Here is an 18,027-nt window from a genome sequence, read left to right as displayed (position 1 = left end):
TCTCAGCCAGCTGAAGAATAAGTCAGTGCTGATCTGCAGATTTCAGAAAAGAGAGAAGTCTGTGTGGCTGGAATAATCAAACAGCTTTAGGGAAGAGGTGAGACATAAGCTAGGCATGAAAGGATGAGTGGAGTTTAGATGATCAGAAGTAGAAAGAACAAATACTTCAGGAAACAGCACAAAGGCTTGCAGTTGAAAATCGGCACAGTGCCTGGGGAGGATAGTGGATAAGGGGGTGAGTAGAGACAGTAAACATTCTCTTCTGTGGCTCTGATGAGCCCTTGGTACATGTGTCCCAGGATAGATGACAACTCTGTTTTTTTAGAAAGGCAGAATGCAAGTGAGTAGTATGATTCAACTGAACAACAGAATTTATTCTATTTATGGATATCTTAATCTTCTCAAACTGCTTTGAGATGGGTTCTTGCTATGTTGCCCAGGCTGGCCTTAAACTCCCGGGCTCAAGCCATCCTCCTACCACAGCCTCCCAAGTAGCTGGGACTACAGGCGTACACCACTGTACCCAGCTTCTTTATTTTTATCCTATCATAATGCCATATGGTAAACAGAGATGTATTATTCTGCTCACTTTACAAAGAGGAAAAAATGAAGTCTAAATTGCCCACAACTCTTCCAAGTAAATGGTGAACCTAAAACTCAGGTCTCCTTATTACCAGACCCTGTAGGCATATGGATGTCTTCCCATCAAATGGCCTTTGAGCACTGACTGACTAGAACTATGGATTCTCACCCCTTTGCACACTCTTCTTCTTATAATTTCAGGAATTCAGGAAGTCCTGCCAGCTTACCCTAGACTTCAGAGAACCATGGACTCTGAATATAAACCTCCCCACAATACCACACTCTGCCAATCCATCCTTCACAGGTAACTGACAAAATGCATTTCCTAAAAGGCTTTATTGCCAATGGCTCAATACCAACCCTTCATTATAGAAACCTAAACTGAAAAACAGACAACATCTGATCATTCTTTCCTCACCCACAGTAATAAAAACAATTACAAATAACAAAAACAACAATCATGCCTACCTTAGAGCTTTACATGTGTTATGCCATTTGATCCTCACAACAACCCTACAAGGTAAATGCCGTTATTATCCCAATTTTACAGGTGAGCAAACTGAGGCACAGAGAGATTAGGCAACTTGCCCAAAGTAGTAAGTGGCAGAGCCAAGAATGGAAGCTGGGAGCCAGGCTCCAGAATCCATGTTCTTAAGAACTGCTGCACTGCACTGCCATCTGAGAAGCCCTGCCCTGGCTGAACCCATGAGCCTGGCAGTAAACTTCAGAATACTTTTCCCCCAGTGAGCAGGGTCTATTAGGCATTAGGTAACAGCAATTGGAATAATGCCAAATACAGGCACTTCGGGACCTGCCTTAATAGGCAGATAAAATAAATATGCCCTCATCACAACCAGCGTGACTACTGCTGAGGGGCCGTGATCTACCTTCTTAACAGGAATTCCATATGCTTCTGTAATTTTCAATTAATACCATTAACAAGTCCAGTGATTTCCTTCTTCACGGAGATCCAACTTAAATTTCTGTGCAAGTTCTAATCAAATTATGAATCAAATAATTAGGTAACTAGCCTGTTACCTAATTCTCCATGCACCAAGGAGGGCCAGAGCCCTGGCACAGCAGGAGCATCAAGCCACATCTGGGTGCCTGTCCCCACCTTCTTTACCACCTGCCTCATGAGCTCCCCTAAGTCTCCTGGTTCCTACTCCAGATCTGTGGCTTGGAACCTGATTCATCCATTCATCAATTTGTTCTTCATTAATTCATTCAAACAACTTACAAACACTTATTAAACACCTACTATTTTCCAGGCCTTGTAGACTCTGGGGATACAACATTTTAAAGCAGCTACTGTTTTAGTTAGTCCTTGTATCACCTCCAACAACGCACCCTTAAAGCACTGGGCCTTGTCCAGGACATTAACATAGGCCAAGGTCAGACCAGACAGTTGTTGGCTCAGCCTTGGTAATTGGGTCTGGCCCTTTTCCTAGGTGTTCTTCGGTGCTTTCCCCAATTTTCCTCTGCCTTGGTGCCCACAGTGAGCACTGACAGCAGAACAGAAATGTTCCATAAGACAATGGCGACTCTGAGGACAGTCCATCACTGCTGGGTCAGTGACTATAGTCGGGTATGAAATAAGAGAGGAAATCATGCAATTATCTCAGAGTTTTCCCCAAGACCTTCTTGGACTGTTTCCTATAAACACCACCTTATTATACAGTTGTTTATACCCACCCTACATGAAAATTGTTCTGTTTTGACTTTTTAATGCCATTCATTGTTCCAAAGTTAATCTGCTCTGCTGTGTACACACACACTTAAGATGTCCACCTGGCTGGGGTAACACATCTGCTCAGATACTCCAGATTCAGTACAGGCAGACAGAAATAGGTTGTTCGGTGAGGTTCTGGAGTCACAGGAGGACTTGGTCAAATGTATAAATTAAAGCTATGCGGAGGGAAACTCGGAAGTCTGAATTCCCAGAGCCTTTGGAAGAAATGAGATTTTCATGACTCATTTAATCATCTTCCTCACAGCTCCCAACTCAGTGTTATGCACAAAATGGTGTCCAATATGTTTTAGAGACTAAACAGTAACTAGATTATTGGAAAACTGCCAAATAGAGGCCCTTTGGGACCTGCCTTAATACGCAGATAAAATAAATATGCCCTCATCACAACCAGGATGACTACTACTGAGGGACCAGGATCTACTTTCTTAACGGGATTCCATATGCTTCTGTAATTTTCTATTAATACCATTAACAAGTCCAGTGATTTCCTTCTTCATGGAGAACCAACTTAAATTTCTGCTCGAGTTCTATCCAAATTATGAATCAAAAAGTTTTTGTCTTGTAACCCATTAAATTTTTTGAGATGGAGTTTTGCTCTTGTTGCCCAGGCTGGAGTGCAATGGCACGATCTCAGCTCACCACAACCTCTGCCTCCCGGGTTCAAGCAATTCTGCCTCAGCCTCCTGAGTAGCTGGGATTACAGGCGCTCGCCACCACACCCAGATAATTTTGTATTTTTAGTAGCAACGGGGTTCCACCATGTTGGTCAGACTGGTCTCGAACTCCTAACCTCAGGAGATCCACCCACCTCACCCTCCCAAAGTGCTGGGATTACAGGCGTGAGCCACCATGCCCGGCCTAACCTGTTAATTCTCTCTATTCCATTTCAGCCCATCTCCTAACCACTAACGCCATCTGAGACCATTTGAAAGGGTCCAGAGAGGCCCTGGTGATGGCCCCAGTTCATCACAATCTGTCACTTCACCCGACCAAAAACCCCAAGCTGTTCTGTCTCCACTCTCCCCACATTCTTCCCCACCCAGGCTTCATTATCAAGTCTGTCGCTTGGACTTTGAGGCCTTCTCTCAAATCATCCCAACCTCCCCATTCCCACTTTCACAGTGAAGCTTCAGGCTCTGCTCCTTCATAGCCCAGGTCACTGCAACCACTGCCTTGCTTTTCTCTGTGCCTCCATCCTCACCACCACCAGCTGCCATACGCTCTCCACACAAGTGCTGGGTTATCATTTTAAAAATGAAATCTGATGCTGTTAAGCCCGTGCTTAAAGCCATGTGGAGGTTCCTCATGCCAGACAGGATAAGGTCCCACCTTCCTGGCCTCTCCACAACCCAGTGTCTCCTCTTACCTCCCGGTGGACCTAACCATCCCAGCCACACTGGACCACCATCTTTCCAAGCATGCACTCATCTTCCACCTCTGCACCTCTGTGCCAGCTGCTTCCTCCTCAGCAGTTCCCTTCTCCTCCATCTTCCATGCCTGGTGGAATCACATGCCAACCTTCAAGTCCAGCCCCTGGATCACGTTCCCTGAAATGTTTCATGGCTTCCTCAGGCCAAGTGGATGGTCCTGCTTCTGTATTTTCCCATCACTTTATTCAGATTCCTGGTATGGCATTCAAATACATCACATTCAGGTAAACTATGGGCCACTTTGTATCAGGGACACTGTCTTTCCCATTTTTATGTCTCCAAGGCCCAGTGTGTTGCCTGGCATGTAGTAGACACTGAAAGAATGTTAGCTGAATTGACCAGCTGAAGCACAGAGTAATTAATTCTGGCTGGTGAGAAACAGCATAGTGTCATCTAAAGGGATGCTTAGACTAAATGTTAAGTAGAAGGAGGAAAAAAGCTGTAGTATGAAAATAGCATGAACAAAGTAAATGCCCTTCCTCATGATCTTCAACAAATAGTTAAAGGAACCTATTAAGTGCCAGGTGTTGTGCTAAGTGTTGGTGACATAAGCAAAATTATACGTGGTCCCTGCTTTAATGGAGCTTACAGTCCAACAGGGAAGAAAAGCAGCCAAATCATTTCAGAAATAAATGAAAAGCTGTCATGAGGCTCTGGAGAGATAAAACATACTATTCAGGGAGAAACAACACAATTTTACTGAGAGATGAGAGAAGGTCTCCGGAAGAAGTGATGACTAAGGCCTGGTGCAGTGGCTCACACCTGTAATCCCAGCACTTTTGGAGGCCAAGGTGGGTGGATCTCTTGTTCCCAGGAGTTTGAGGCCAGCCTGGACAATGTGGTGAAACCCCATCTCTACAAAAAATACAAAAGTTAGCTAAGCATAGTGGCACATACCTGTAGTCCTAGCTACTTAGGAGGCTGGGGCAGGAGAATCACTTGAGCCCAGGAGGTGGAGGTTGCAGTGAGCCAAGACTGTGCCACTGCACTCCAGTCTGGGCAACAGAGTGTGACTCTGATCTCAAAAAAAAAAAAAAAAAGGAAAAAAAAGAAGTCATGACTAAATTGAGTTGTGAAGGGAAAGCTTATTAAGCAAGTGAGAGAAGGATACCATTCTAAGCAGATGGAATAGCTTGTGCAAATGCCTTGTGGCAGCAAGAGAAAATGGGCATCCAAGGGACCAAAAGAAAACTCATTAGGCTGAATGCTAAGAGTGAGGGATGACTAATGCATGATGAGGTTGCAGAGGTACGAGAGGTAAGAGAAGAGGCCTGAACAAGGAGAATTTTATAGTTCAGTTTAAGAATTTTGTCTTAAAATCTTCAAAGCATTGGTAATCACTGGAGTATTTTAAGCAAAGGGTACCTTGATCAGAATTGTGTGGTTTTTTTTTTTTAAAGCCATTCTCATTACAATATGGAGAACGGGTAGGAGGAAGAGAACATGTGGATGTTGACTAGATGGGAAACTACTTCAGTTGCCCAGATAAGAGGTGACAGTAGCCATGGATATTTAGAGACAGTGGGAACATTTGGGAGACATAGGTATGTAGAATCAACAGACCTGGGAATTTAGGGGTGAGGACGAAGGAGGTATCAGAGATAACTCCTGCCATCTGGTGCATGTAATGGAAGAAGTGAAGGCACCATTTACTGACATAACAACTACTGAAGAGATAAGATATTGAGGAAAGATCATGCATGTTTTGAATGAACTGGGAGCGGAAGGACACCTATAAGAGAACCAAACCCATGTATGAACTAGATTAGGAATAGCTGGTAGATCTTCTCTGAAAAACACCCTGGGCTGGGCATGGTGGCTCATGCCTATAATCCCAGCATTTTGGGAGGCTGAGGAGGGCGGATCACCTGAAGTCAGGAGTTCGAGACCAGCCAGGCCAACATGATGAAACCTTGTTTCTACTAAAAATACAAAAATTAGCTAGGCATGGTGGCGCATGCCTGTAATCCCAGCTACTCGGGAGGCTGAAGCAGGAGAATTCCTTGAACCCGGGAGGCAGAGGTTGCAGTGAGCTGAGTTCATGCCCTTGCACTCCCGCTTGGGCAACAAGAGCAAAACTGTGTCAAAAAAAAAAAAAAAAAAAAAAAACGAAAGAAAGAAAGAAAAGAAAAAAACAAAACACCCTGGAGACTTATTAAACCCTTCTAACTTTCTCTAGGTAAAGATACTTGACAAGGTCCCTTGACAGGAATCCATATAGTCAAAAGTCACTAAAACTGTACATATCACCAGCTACATCCCCTCCCAGTGGCGATGCCTAGAGCTTGAGAGATTCCCACACCTCAGGACCAGCAGTGGGTGAATAGAGGGCACGGGCAGTGCATACCATTTCCTTCTCCATCTGTTGCAGAAAATAAAGAGTCTTTTCTTAGGGTCTAGTGTTTGAGAGGGCCAAAGACCCCGAAACAGACAGATCTTGGATCTTACAGACAGCTCACAGGCCACCTGCAACCCAAGGGCAGAGAACAGAAAAGTCAACAGTGTGTTCTGGGACCAAGAACTGCTTCAGCTATCTAGATTATGTGGAAGGTGGAGACAGTGAGGGTAGAAAAATAGGGCTGGAAAGGTGAGCTGGGACTGGATATGAGGCCTCGATGAATTTATCCCTATGGGCAGAGAGGAGCTACCAAGGTTTCTGAGGATGTTGCTAGATTCTCATCCATGCTCTGTTAAGGTAAGGAGTTCATGGAAAGGATGGACTTAGAGGCAAAAGAATGTAGGCAATAATACAGAGCATAGCAGGAAGGCCTTTGGAAGGGTCCTATGAAGAAACAATGAGAGCCCCAAAAATGAATTCAAAGAAAAATTTGGAAAAATTAAAATTCAAAACACGTGAAGTCTTTTGAAGGGGTGGGGAGGGTTGAGGCAGGGTCTCACTCTATGGCCCAGATTGGAGTGCAGTGACACAATCACAGCTCACTGCAGGCTTGAACTCCTGGTCTCAAACTACTGGCTTCAAGCAATTCTCTTGGCTCAGCCTCTCAGAATGCTGGGATTACAGGTGCAAGTCACCAAGCTCAGCCAGACATGAGTTTTTAAAGAGTGAAGAGAGATTATTTGAACAATTCCCTTAATTTTTCACAGAAAAAGAAGGAAAAAAAAAAAGAAAAACACCCTGGAGCATTATTAATTTTTCAGAGAAAAATTAGAGGAAAAAAAAATTCAGAGAAAGCATGCCAAACCATCCTACTGATGAAATTTACCCTTCCTATATCCTCCCCTAACTTCCCTGCCTCTGTTAACCCACATTTATGAAATTAGCTGAATTTCTTTTTTTAAAAATGTCTGCTTTTTTAAAGGCTATTCCATCAGCTCCTGATTACAAACTCACTAAATGTGTTTTCGCTTTCTTGGCAGGACTAACGTTCCATAAAGGCTTCAGAAAAAGAAAATCAAAAGCTTTGCTTAACTGTGGTCATTACAATGAAGCAAATGCAGTTCTCCCCATGATGCCTGTCTGTGAACAGCGGTGCCATATTAATCTACCTCTGTTGGCAAACAGCTCTGAGATCAGCCCCTAAACCTTTTGCAAATGTAAAACAATCAAACAATCAAAATATATACAGACACATAAATATATCCATATATGTATAATATATATACAACACGTATACTTAATATGATTTAAGACAATATTATTTTATTTTTGTTTTTTCAGAGACAGGGTCTCACTCTGTCAACCAGACTGGAGTGCAGTGGTTGATCCTAGCTCACCACAGCCTTGAGCTCCTGGGCTCAAGCTATCCTCCCACCTCAGCCTCCTGAGTGGCTGGAACTACAGGTGCACACCACCATGACTGGCTAATATTTTATTTTATTTTATAGAGATGGAGTCTCACTATATTGCCCAGGCCAGTCTTCAACTCCTGGCCTCAAGCAATCCTCCCAACTCAGCCTCCCGAAGTGCTGGGATTACAGGGGCAAGCCACTGCATCCAACCAATATATATATATATATATTTTTTTTTTAACTAAAACACTGATGCGGCAAAAACTGTCCAAATTTTACTTATTTCCTAAACCTAACACTGCTATGACAGAAACAGGAAAAGAAACTAAGGCATTTGCTGAATTGTAAAGAAATCAAAATGTGTTTTGAAATACACCAGAGGGATGACCATGTCCCTGGTAAGCCAGGGGTAACAGTTTAGGTGACAGCAAGAAATTTGGGCAGTTGGAGGCCAACCTCCCACCCCTACCTATTTATTCCCTGCCCAGAGGTGGGAGAGGCAGGCAGATGGAGAAAGAGTAATCAAGACCTATAAGGATACGTAGGTTGTCGTCTGTCAATAGTGACAACTTCCTGTCTCTCATCTTGAAACAGTTTGAATTTCACTTTCCTTTGTCATTCAAAAAGCAGGGTTGGAGATGGGGAAAACAGCCAAAGGGACATCAAGGGAGAGGAAAAGAGAAAGCAGAAGGAAGGAGGAGATGAATCCACCAACTGGCCAGTTATCCCCCATTCAGACCCTTGTCACAGACATTCCCTGGAATAAGCGCTGACGCTGATGAACTCCCTGGCCAGTGCAGAAACATTCTCCAAGGGAGAGGCCACACTCACATTGTCGGCCTGGGGCACTGGGCAGACAGCAAATCGTTCCCAGGCCCTCAGCTGAGTCATTCAGACCAGGAGACCAGGGGGGATGCTGACATTCCACCTAAACCTCTGAAGTTCCCTGTGAATGTAGATATTCTTTTCTTTCTGTTGTTTTGTTTTTTGTTTGTTTTTTGAGATGGAGTCTCACTCTGTCACCCAGGCTGTAGTGCAGTGGCACAATCTCAGCTCACTGCAACCTCCGCCTCCCGGGTTCAAGTGATTCTCCTGCCTTACCCTCCTAAGGAGCTGGGATTACAGGCACGCGCCACCACACCCAGCTAATTTTTGTATTTTTAGTAGAGACGGGGTTTCATCATGTTGGCCAGGCTAGTCTCAAACTCCTGACCTCAAGTGATCTGCCGCCTCAGCCTCCCAAAGTGCTAGGATTACAGGCGTGAGCCACCGCAGCTGGCTGGTATTCTTTTCTAGAGCAGTCAAGCTTTATGTCTGCCTGTGAGACTTTGTTAAGCCTTTACCCTCAAAGAGCTTGTCTCCCCTCATTTAGAAAATGGCAAAACCCCACAGTCTATTGGATTCACAGGAAGATTTGGGGACACAATGCTGGTCAAGTGGCTAAACATGATACTCCATGCACAGGATGTTCTTAGTAAGTCATTATTGTGGTTTCATTCAGAAACATTGCTCAGTATTGTCTCTATTTTTTTAATATAAAATAAAAATATATTGTCTTATATTTTTTCATTTAAAAAGCAATACTTGGCTAGACGCAGTGGCTCACACCTGTAATCCTTGCACTTTGAGAGGCCGAGGCAGGCGTATTGCCTGAGCTCAGGAGTTCAAGACCAGACTGGGCAACAGGGTGAAACCTCGTCTCTACTAAAATACAAAAAATTAGCCGGGCATGGCGGCGTGCGCCTGTAGTCGCAGCTACTCAGGAGGCTGAGGCAGGATAATTTCTTGGACCCAGGAGGCGGAGGTTGCAGTGAGCCGAGATTGCACCACCGCACTCCAGCCTGGGCAACAGAGCGATACACTGTGTCTCAAAAAAAAAAATTAAATAAAGCAATACTTTATTTAAATATAAAATTAAGCTGGGTGTGGTGAGGCACACCTGTAGTTCCAGCTACTTGGGAACCTAAGCAGGGGAGGATAACTTGAGCCCAGGAGTTCTAAACTGTCGTGTGCTATTATTGCACCTGTGAATAGCCACTGCACTCCAACCTGGACAATGTAGCAAGACCTCATGTCTTAAAAAAAAAAAATCAATAACTACTCATTGAAGCAAACATACACATAGTGTGTGTTTTCTATATATATATATTTTTATACACACTATGTGTATGTCTATGAGGGTGAGTTAGAGAGAGAGAGAGAGCGTGTGTTTGTGTGTGTGTGCATGTGTGTGTGCGTGTGTGTGCATGTGTGTGCGTGTGTGTGTGTGTGTGTGTGTGTGTAAGAGGGAAAAAATCTCCTATTTACTACCACCAAAGAAAACCACATAATATTTTGGTATTTTTTCCCCAGTTTTCTCTCAAGGCAACATTGTATGAATGTTCATATTTGCTACATTGTTGTCACTATATTAAACTGCAATTATAATTCTGATGATAAATGCTACCTGGGAGAAAAGCTGTTGCGGAACATCTTTTATGTCAGATTACAGGATTATTGCCTAAATTGAGAATAACAATCCCTAACAACATTCTTTACTTTTTAGTTTCATCCAGATGCTATTGTGAAAAAGAAATACCAAGCCCTCGGCCATCTTCTATGTCACTAGAGTAACCAAGTCATCAGGGTGGCTATTGGGTGACCAGTCTCCTCAGGACTTTAGGCAGAAATTAGGTATTAAGCCTACTGAGAGTCCCACAGAGCAATCCAATCCCTTCGCACTTCTTTATTATTTGATTTATAATTTTTAGTGTACTTCAAGCAATGTTTTCAATTAAAGGCTGCCAGGTGGCATGCTTCATAAGCCCTTGATGATCTGAGAATGCCCTTGTAGGAAGAACTTTTCTTGAGTGGAAGGAACAGATACACACTCTCATATCCAGGAGGATTTACTGGAAGGACACAGGACAAAATTCAAAGGATGACAGGGCTTCGTGAGCACAAAAAAGGCACTGAAACAGCTGCCCTGTCTCTGTGTGTGGCTTCTCTGCTCCTCTCTGACCCCACTCAGCATCCCTGCCTCCTCGTAGCTTCTGGCCCTCTGCAATATCAGTTTACACATTGCCAGACTGGGGAGCCGCTGACAACACCCCCATCTCTGTGACTCTCTACCTCGAGTCCTCAAAACCAACTGCAACATTTTCTCTATCCCAAAATCCTCGAAGAAGAATCTAGCTGGCCCACCTCATCCCTGTTTACCAGATCTTAAATCGCAGGTTACTTCTGAGGGATGGCCACTCCTACTCCTACCACTTTAGCAGGAGATGGCAAGGCCACCTGGGCTCAAAGGCCTTCCTACTCCATAGGTCCTTCCAGGTCAAGACTATTCTGTGAGAAGAGGGCTTGTCCAGGGCAGGCACCCTAAAGCATTTTTAGAGAAGTCGTTCAGTTGGCTTCAAACACTAAAACAATTTAACTGGATATAAAATTCTTGAATCATAGTCTTTCCCTCTCAGTACTCAATAGGCCTTGTTCCACTGTTTTTTTGGCCTGAGGTATTGCCAGGCAGATGTCCTACACCTTTTTTCTCTTCCTAAGTAACCCTTGTCTCTTGTGTGGATCCTTGTGTACCTTTTTCTTTTGTTCCATAATTCAAAAATTACAGCAGAATGTGCCTCCACATGGCTCTCTTTCTGTGATTTTCTTTTTTCCAGACAGGGTCCTCCTCTGTCACGCAGGCTGGAGTACAGTGGTGCAATCTTGGCTCACTATAGCCTCTGCCTCCCAGGTTCAAGCAATTCTCCTGCCTCAGCCTCCTGAATAGTTGGGATTACAGAAGTCCACCACCTCACTCGGCTAATTTTTGTATTTTTGGTAGAGACGGGGTTTCACCATGTTGGCCAGGCTGGTCTCAAACTCCTGATCTCAGGTGATTCACCTGCCTCGGCCTCCCAAAGTGCTGGGATTACAGGCATTAGCCACTGTGCCCAGCCCCTTCTACTATGTATTTTGCTTGTAATATGGTTAGTCCTTTTAAATCCAGGACAGCTTCTTCTTTATGTTGGCCTTTTTAATGCTTCTGCTCTCATTGTTCAGGTTTTACAGTTATCTCTAGTATTTATTATTTTCTCTCAATATTTGTATCTCCTTTTCTACAATGTAGAAGACAATCTCAAGACTGTCTTCCTCATAGGAGTATTTTCAAGTGTCACTTTTGATCTTCATGTTCTCCAAAGAGAACTTTAATTATGTGATTGCATCCTTGTTTTTCCAGAAATGCTTTATTTCCCTTAACTCCATTTTTCTTCCCTTCTTATCCTCTATTTAAGGCTTATTACTCTTATTTCATATATGCCACATGAGACTAAAGTTTTAAAATATTTTTCCTGTTTTTTATATTTATAATAAATCATCTCACAGGCCTGCTTTTCCTCTGAGACTTGGAGTGATGAGTCCCTTACATTACAGTGGAAACTTTCTTCAGTGGCTAAATATTATTTATTTTCTCTACATAAATCCTTAGATGAAGTAAAATGTATTCATATTTAGCATTTATCAACAACTGCTATCTATCAATGAGGAATACATTGCCTTTTGCTGTGATTTTCAATGATGAATATCTCATTTTCATTACATACTATAATAGCAAATTACGGGATACAATGAATCCATTCTCATAAAGGTCTGTATGGAGAAAAGCAAAAAAAAAAAATACAAAATGTGTACAATTGTTTAAAGGAAAAAAAAGCCTTGTAATACAAAAAGATACTTTCATCACTATTTCTAATTAGCAAGAAGACAAAATCACTGAAAAATTTTTATATCATCCAATTACCAATAACAACAATAAAACCCAGAATCATAAAATTCTCTATAAAATTAATAAAGGAGAACTTCAAATGACTCGAGTTTCTCAAACTGTTCTTCTTTCAATTGAAAAGGGTAAAGGAAACAGTTTATTGCTTTTCACTTTGTTCTGTTTCTCCTTAAACAACAATCAAATCTCCTCAAGCAACACACTCAAAGAACAAAACGAGATGCCAGTCCTAGTCCAACTTCAAGTTTCCAACAGGTATTCTCTGATATCCTGCTTCTTCCTTCAGGGTACATTTTCCTCTATCCCATTCGTTGCTTGTCTGATCAATTAACCAACATGACACATTAAAATGGCCCTTCCCAATGTGTCAGCAGGGCCCTTCCTGTCTCCATTTTCACCTACTGCAGCTGACCTGCAGAAGACGGAAGACGGAACACAGAAATGAACCCCAATGGCCCAATCCGGTGTTCCCCACTTCCTGTCTACTCATTTTATTATTATTGGAGTCTCCACATTGGTGTGGAAAGGGGGGTGTCTATGAAGTGAGAAGAGGGATACAATAATTGCGCTGGGACGGAATGCAACAATGACACTGTATTTGTACAAGGAAGGGCAGCCCACCTTTCTGCTTGCAACAGACTATGTTTCTGAACTGGTGGGACGGGCAGACAGCAGAAGAAGGGTGAGGGACTTCGTAGCACAGCATGCACAAGCCACTGACAGCATTTTCAGACAAGTGAGCTTTCTGTGCCAAAGTAAGAGAAATTTCTCATTGATTCTGACAACAGACTGAAGTCCAGCCCTACTTTTCAGTGTTTATTTTGTTCATCTTTTCTCAGTGTTTTCTAGACATTACATTACAGTGGCAGTTGGGTGAGGATGTATCAGAGGCAATAGACATTATTTCAAACTTGAAGCCCTATAGCCACCTTTTTTTTTTTACACCTTCTTTTAGGTACAGTTCAAAACCCGACATGACATTTTATCTTTAACAGTGGTTTCAACCAAGTGCAATTCCCCTCTCTCTCCACACCCCAGGGCTAGTTGGCACTATCTGGTGATATTTTTTATTGTCATTTCTGGGGGATGCTACTGACATTTAGCAGACAGAGGCCCGAGACGCTGTTAAACATCTAAGTACACAGGAGAGCTCCCACAACAAAGAATTAACGAGTCCAAAATGTCAACAGTGCCAACATCGCCAAATCCTGCTGTATGGCAAAGGTCCAACTCAAACAGAAGCCCCATGGGGGAATTATCTGAGGGGTGTCTTTGCTACTGCCCCTGATCACCTGTATTAGCACCCTATTCATTATCTGAATGCCCCAGTTACATTAACTTTCTGCTGATTAGGAGACATAAATCCTTCTCCAACTCAAGAAAAGACAGATTCTCCCATATTGTTCTTCCACCTCCACTGTAAATGATACAGCAGAGGAGAGATACAATCACTAACAGGCAGAGGCTGTAAAGTCTTCAGTCCACAAGCAGTAATGTGGTGCTGAGCCCAGCATGCCTGGGCTGGACACACATGAAAACAGCAGACAGCTGGGTTCCCCAGCAGGAAACTGTAGGGAACTGGCTGCATTCTGTTCAGACAAAGAAAGTTCAGTACTGAAAAGATGCTCTGAAACTCATTCTCAAAATACCAGCAGTAGCTATGAGCCCTCAGGGAACAACAGGCATCAGAGACTCCAGGTTAGGTGGATGAAGGATGGTAAAATTCTGTGTGCTAGAATGGGCTAAATTCATACAAATGTCCCAGAACTTTCACATAGGCTATTTATATATTTTACGGCAGTGGCTTCAGTGATGAGGTACTTACTAAAGCTCTAAACGTATTTTCCCCAATTAAAAAGAAAATACTTTCAAAAGGAATTCCACCACATTGAGGCAGCCAAATCAGTTGGTCATTAGCACTCTAATGGCCAGTGACAGCTCGGAGCTGGACTCGATATGCATATGCCCTAATCTCCCCAGGAGCAGCTGAGAGTTATGGAGCTGGCTGCTAGTTGAATAATTACTGGAATCTTGAGCATCCGCAAGCTGCTCTTCCAGGCTCTGTAATTCAGAGCTAAAGGGGCCATGCTATTGGTTACACAGCTTTTAGCATATTTGCATGTTTGTGTTGTAGTGGGTTTGGTTTGGAACACTGTTTATTTCATGGGTGTGTTTATTTGTTGATGTGCTATTCACAGAGTCTTCCCCACCTCCAAATTTTCAATCAAAACCTTTGCTATATTTTCTATGCAGATACAGCACAAGAAGGGATGCACGCATGCATGCACGCATGCACACACACACAAACACACACCAGCAAGAGTGTCGCTCAAAGTAGCTTCTGTCATAAAAGGCCAAGCCAATCTGACATCTGATGTGTGAACAGAGCTGTTTGCACACCAAGCGGACTGGTCTACCCCCTCCTACTGATCTTTCTCCCCCATCCAAAGGGATTCTAGCCAATGTCCAGAGAATCATCAACTATGAAAGACAGATTATTTATATTATTTTACCCCACACACACACACACACACACACAAACACACAATGTTTCCCAGTCCCCTTCCCCCACAGTATTACAACTCATTAGGTTAGAGCAACAGGCTAGTAATCAACCTTACAATACTGTACAGTACCACCAAGTTCTTCCACATAAATCATCTAACCCAATCTACACAAAACCCTGTTACGTAGTCACTGTCTTCTATTTGGCAAATGAGGAACTGGAGCCTGATATGGGCATGTTCACATGGCCAGGTTGAAGTAGTGCTGGCAATGGAGGTCCTATAACCCAGAGCTCCATGCATAACAGTGGCCTTCCTCAGGGCTGGGATTCATTGTCTTTGCCCCAGAGAGGCCTCTGTGCTCCTCCCTGGTGCTCAACATAGCTAAACAATTCTACAAAAAGCAGAGGCTGGTCAGGAAGCCTGGTTAAGAAAATGTGGATGCAAAGCCAACCCTCTAACAAGGAGTGACTTCAGCAGTGCATCCTGCTAGCAGTACTCCCATTGAAGGCAAAGAGAGATCAACCCAATCCAGAAGGTCCTTGTTGAAGGCCAGAAAGTTAGACACAGGAGGTACAATTCTATAGGTATCTTAGCACTAATGTGATGGGTAAATCTAGACCCTATATATTTGACCTTTCTCTGGGAATTCTATTACAGAAAATCCACAATTCAAAACTCTAAAATTTGAAACGTTTGAGCTCTGTGATGATGCCACAAGTAGAAAATGCCACATGTGGTCTCATGTGTCAGGCCACTGTCCAAATGCAGTCAACACTGTTTCGTGCACAAAATTATTTAAAATATGGTATAAAATTACCTTCAGGCTATGTATATAAGGTATACATTAAACATAAATGAATTTCATGTTTAGACTTCAGTACCATCCCCTAGACATCTCATTATGTATATGCAAATATTCCAAATTCTGAAAAAAATTAAAATTCAACACTTCTAGTCCCAAGCATTTCAGATAAGGGGTACTCCACCTGTATTTCTGTACATGTACAGGACGTGGGTGGGATTGTTATATAAAAAAAAGCATTAATGAAATAAACAAAATGTAACAAAACCCTATGGAAAAAAATATGTATAAATCTTTACACCGTGTAGTGTGAATAATCATCTCCCACATCCTCAGGTAGCCAAAGTTAAATATAACAGGAGTGTACAAATCCACCATGGTAGCAGTGCAGTGACACAGTATCAAGTTTGAAAAGAAAACTCGACAGGCTCCACGTGAGCCATCAGAGCCAGGAAAAGAATGGATGCCCCTCACAGACCATAGGTGCCTGCTCAGCAGTGCCCAGAACAGCACCTAGGAGAACACTTGGTGGGGCGGTGGGGGGCGGGAAGGTACAATTACCCCAGTGCATGGCAGCTAGCCAGTATGGAAAGATGTCCTTCCACTCTATACAGTAGCCTGAGACTCCTCATTTCCCCCACTGGCTCCCCATCCATGTTCTCTTCCAGCCTCCTGCCTAACGCCATCTTCCACAGTGAGTTTGGGGACCCGTGAGTATTCTGCATCACCAAGCCGCCAGGTGCCAGCACAAACTCATTCAAGCCGGGCCTTTTTTGTTCTTGGAGTCAGGATTGATTTCTCAGAAACTTTTAAAAGTTTGTAAGACTAAATTATCAATCTTTGATTTCTTTATTAGAGAGAAAGCCAGGAAGATCAAAATCATTGGAAATCCCTAAATCTCAGTTTAACCAGTAGCTTCCTTGGCAGGACTACAGAACCCATTTAAAGATCCCCAATTTAAAGCAATGATGACATAGCTTGATTTTTTCCCTCTGAAAATACACCTGTGGGTGCACCATATACAAATGCTGCCACTCTCCTGCCTGTTCCAGCAAGATGCATCAAGGATAGGATGGAGAAGCTCTTACAGACAGAAAGCTGCAGGTTGTCTGTGAGTCTCAGAGGTGATTACAAACATATTTAGTCATGAAAAGACCATCTCCAGACATAAGCCCAAGAGCAGCATCTGGGGATGCAGTTTTCTCAGGCATACCCATTTCCCTTGGAGTTGACAGTCCCCAAAGATGCTGTCTTCTGAAGCAGCCAGCTGCCATCTGTACTTCTAAAACAGCAGAGCTACCAACAAACGAGCCCCATTTCCCTTGGAGTTGACAGTCCCCAAAGATGCTGTCTTCTGAAGCAGCCAGCTGCCATCTGTACTTCTAAAACAGCAGAGCTACCAACAAACGAGCCAGCTTTTCTGTGCCATTCACCTCCATCTCACCCACTTATCACTCCTGGCCATATCCAAATTCAGGTGCCAGTGAGCAATGATAGGGCTGGAAGGTGAGGATCAGGGGTGTTCCACCATTCAAGACATTTATATTGAACAAAGTGCCATGCTAGATGCCACAGGGATTTCACACCGAAAAACAAGGAGAGGCTTCCAAGATGCTCACAAATCTAGTGAGAGAGCAAGACTCAACTAGGGTATATTCCAGAAAACCTACATGGAAAGAAAATAGGTAGTGCAGATTTGGCTCAGTAAATAGAATATGAACCCAAGCCTCATTTTTCCATTATAAATATTGTCCTTAAGAATGTGTCCCTTTCTCCACATTGCCCCCTAGGACTCTTTCTTCCTTTCGTATTCTACAATTATCAAAGGTTTGTGCTCTGGCATTTCTAACTGGTTTAATCATTCTAATTATGTCATAAATGTTTGTTTTCCCTCTCCAACAAGACCACAGAAAACTCAGGTAGTTGCTTACCTTTCTATCTCATCACTGGCCTTAAGAGTATCCTGCATATGGTAGGAGCTCTGCACATGGTGCCGACGGAAACATAAAATCCAGTATCTAAAACTCCAATATGGGGTCTGGAGAATGTCATGGTTCTTGGATTGCTCAGTTGCTTATAGGAATTTGCCTGCTTTAGTCAAGTCACAGAATTCTACAGTTATATAAGTTTAGGGCTAGAAGAGACCTTTTAAATCATAAGGTGTTTTTACCAATGAGTAGCTGATGTCCAGAAATGGGAAGTGACTTTCCTAAGGCCATGAAATAAATGGAAAAGCCAGGACTGGAATCTTGGGCCTCTGAAGCATCAGATGAAAGTGAAAAATGTTATCGAGTCCAGAGATAAAATAAGGAACCTCCTCTCAGTAGCACAGGGAGAAACAATACATATCTGCATTTTATTACAACTGAAAAATTGGCCTGTGTAATCAGATGCACTTTCTCAGCTAAATGTTTTCCAGTTCATTATTTTGCTTAAAAATTGATTAA

At 43.0% G+C, this 18,027-nt stretch overlaps 1 protein-coding gene across 18 annotated transcripts in view, besides 1 other annotated feature; it reads right to left on the bottom strand.

The window, feature by feature from the left end:
* HHAT (hedgehog acyltransferase) overlaps positions 1 to 18,027 on the bottom strand; it is a 348,963-nt gene that overhangs the window by 126,049 nt on the left and 204,887 nt on the right. The window lies entirely within an intron of this gene.
* Positions 13,643 to 13,937: a silencer, noted in NCBI's record as "tiled region #9170; K562 Repressive non-DNase unmatched - State 24:Quies". NCBI's record gives its function as "represses a minimal TATA promoter and a strong SV40 promoter by Sharpr-MPRA in K562 cells {active_cell/tissue: K562}" and the evidence as "EXISTENCE:reporter gene assay evidence [ECO:0000049][PMID:27701403]".

Source organism: Homo sapiens, chromosome 1 (assembly GCF_000001405.40).
Source record: "Homo sapiens chromosome 1, GRCh38.p14 Primary Assembly".
NCBI classification, from domain to species: domain Eukaryota; kingdom Metazoa; phylum Chordata; class Mammalia; order Primates; family Hominidae; genus Homo; species Homo sapiens.
The sequence above is the reverse complement of the archived record's forward strand: the minus strand, read 5'-3'. Positions and strand labels throughout refer to the sequence as shown.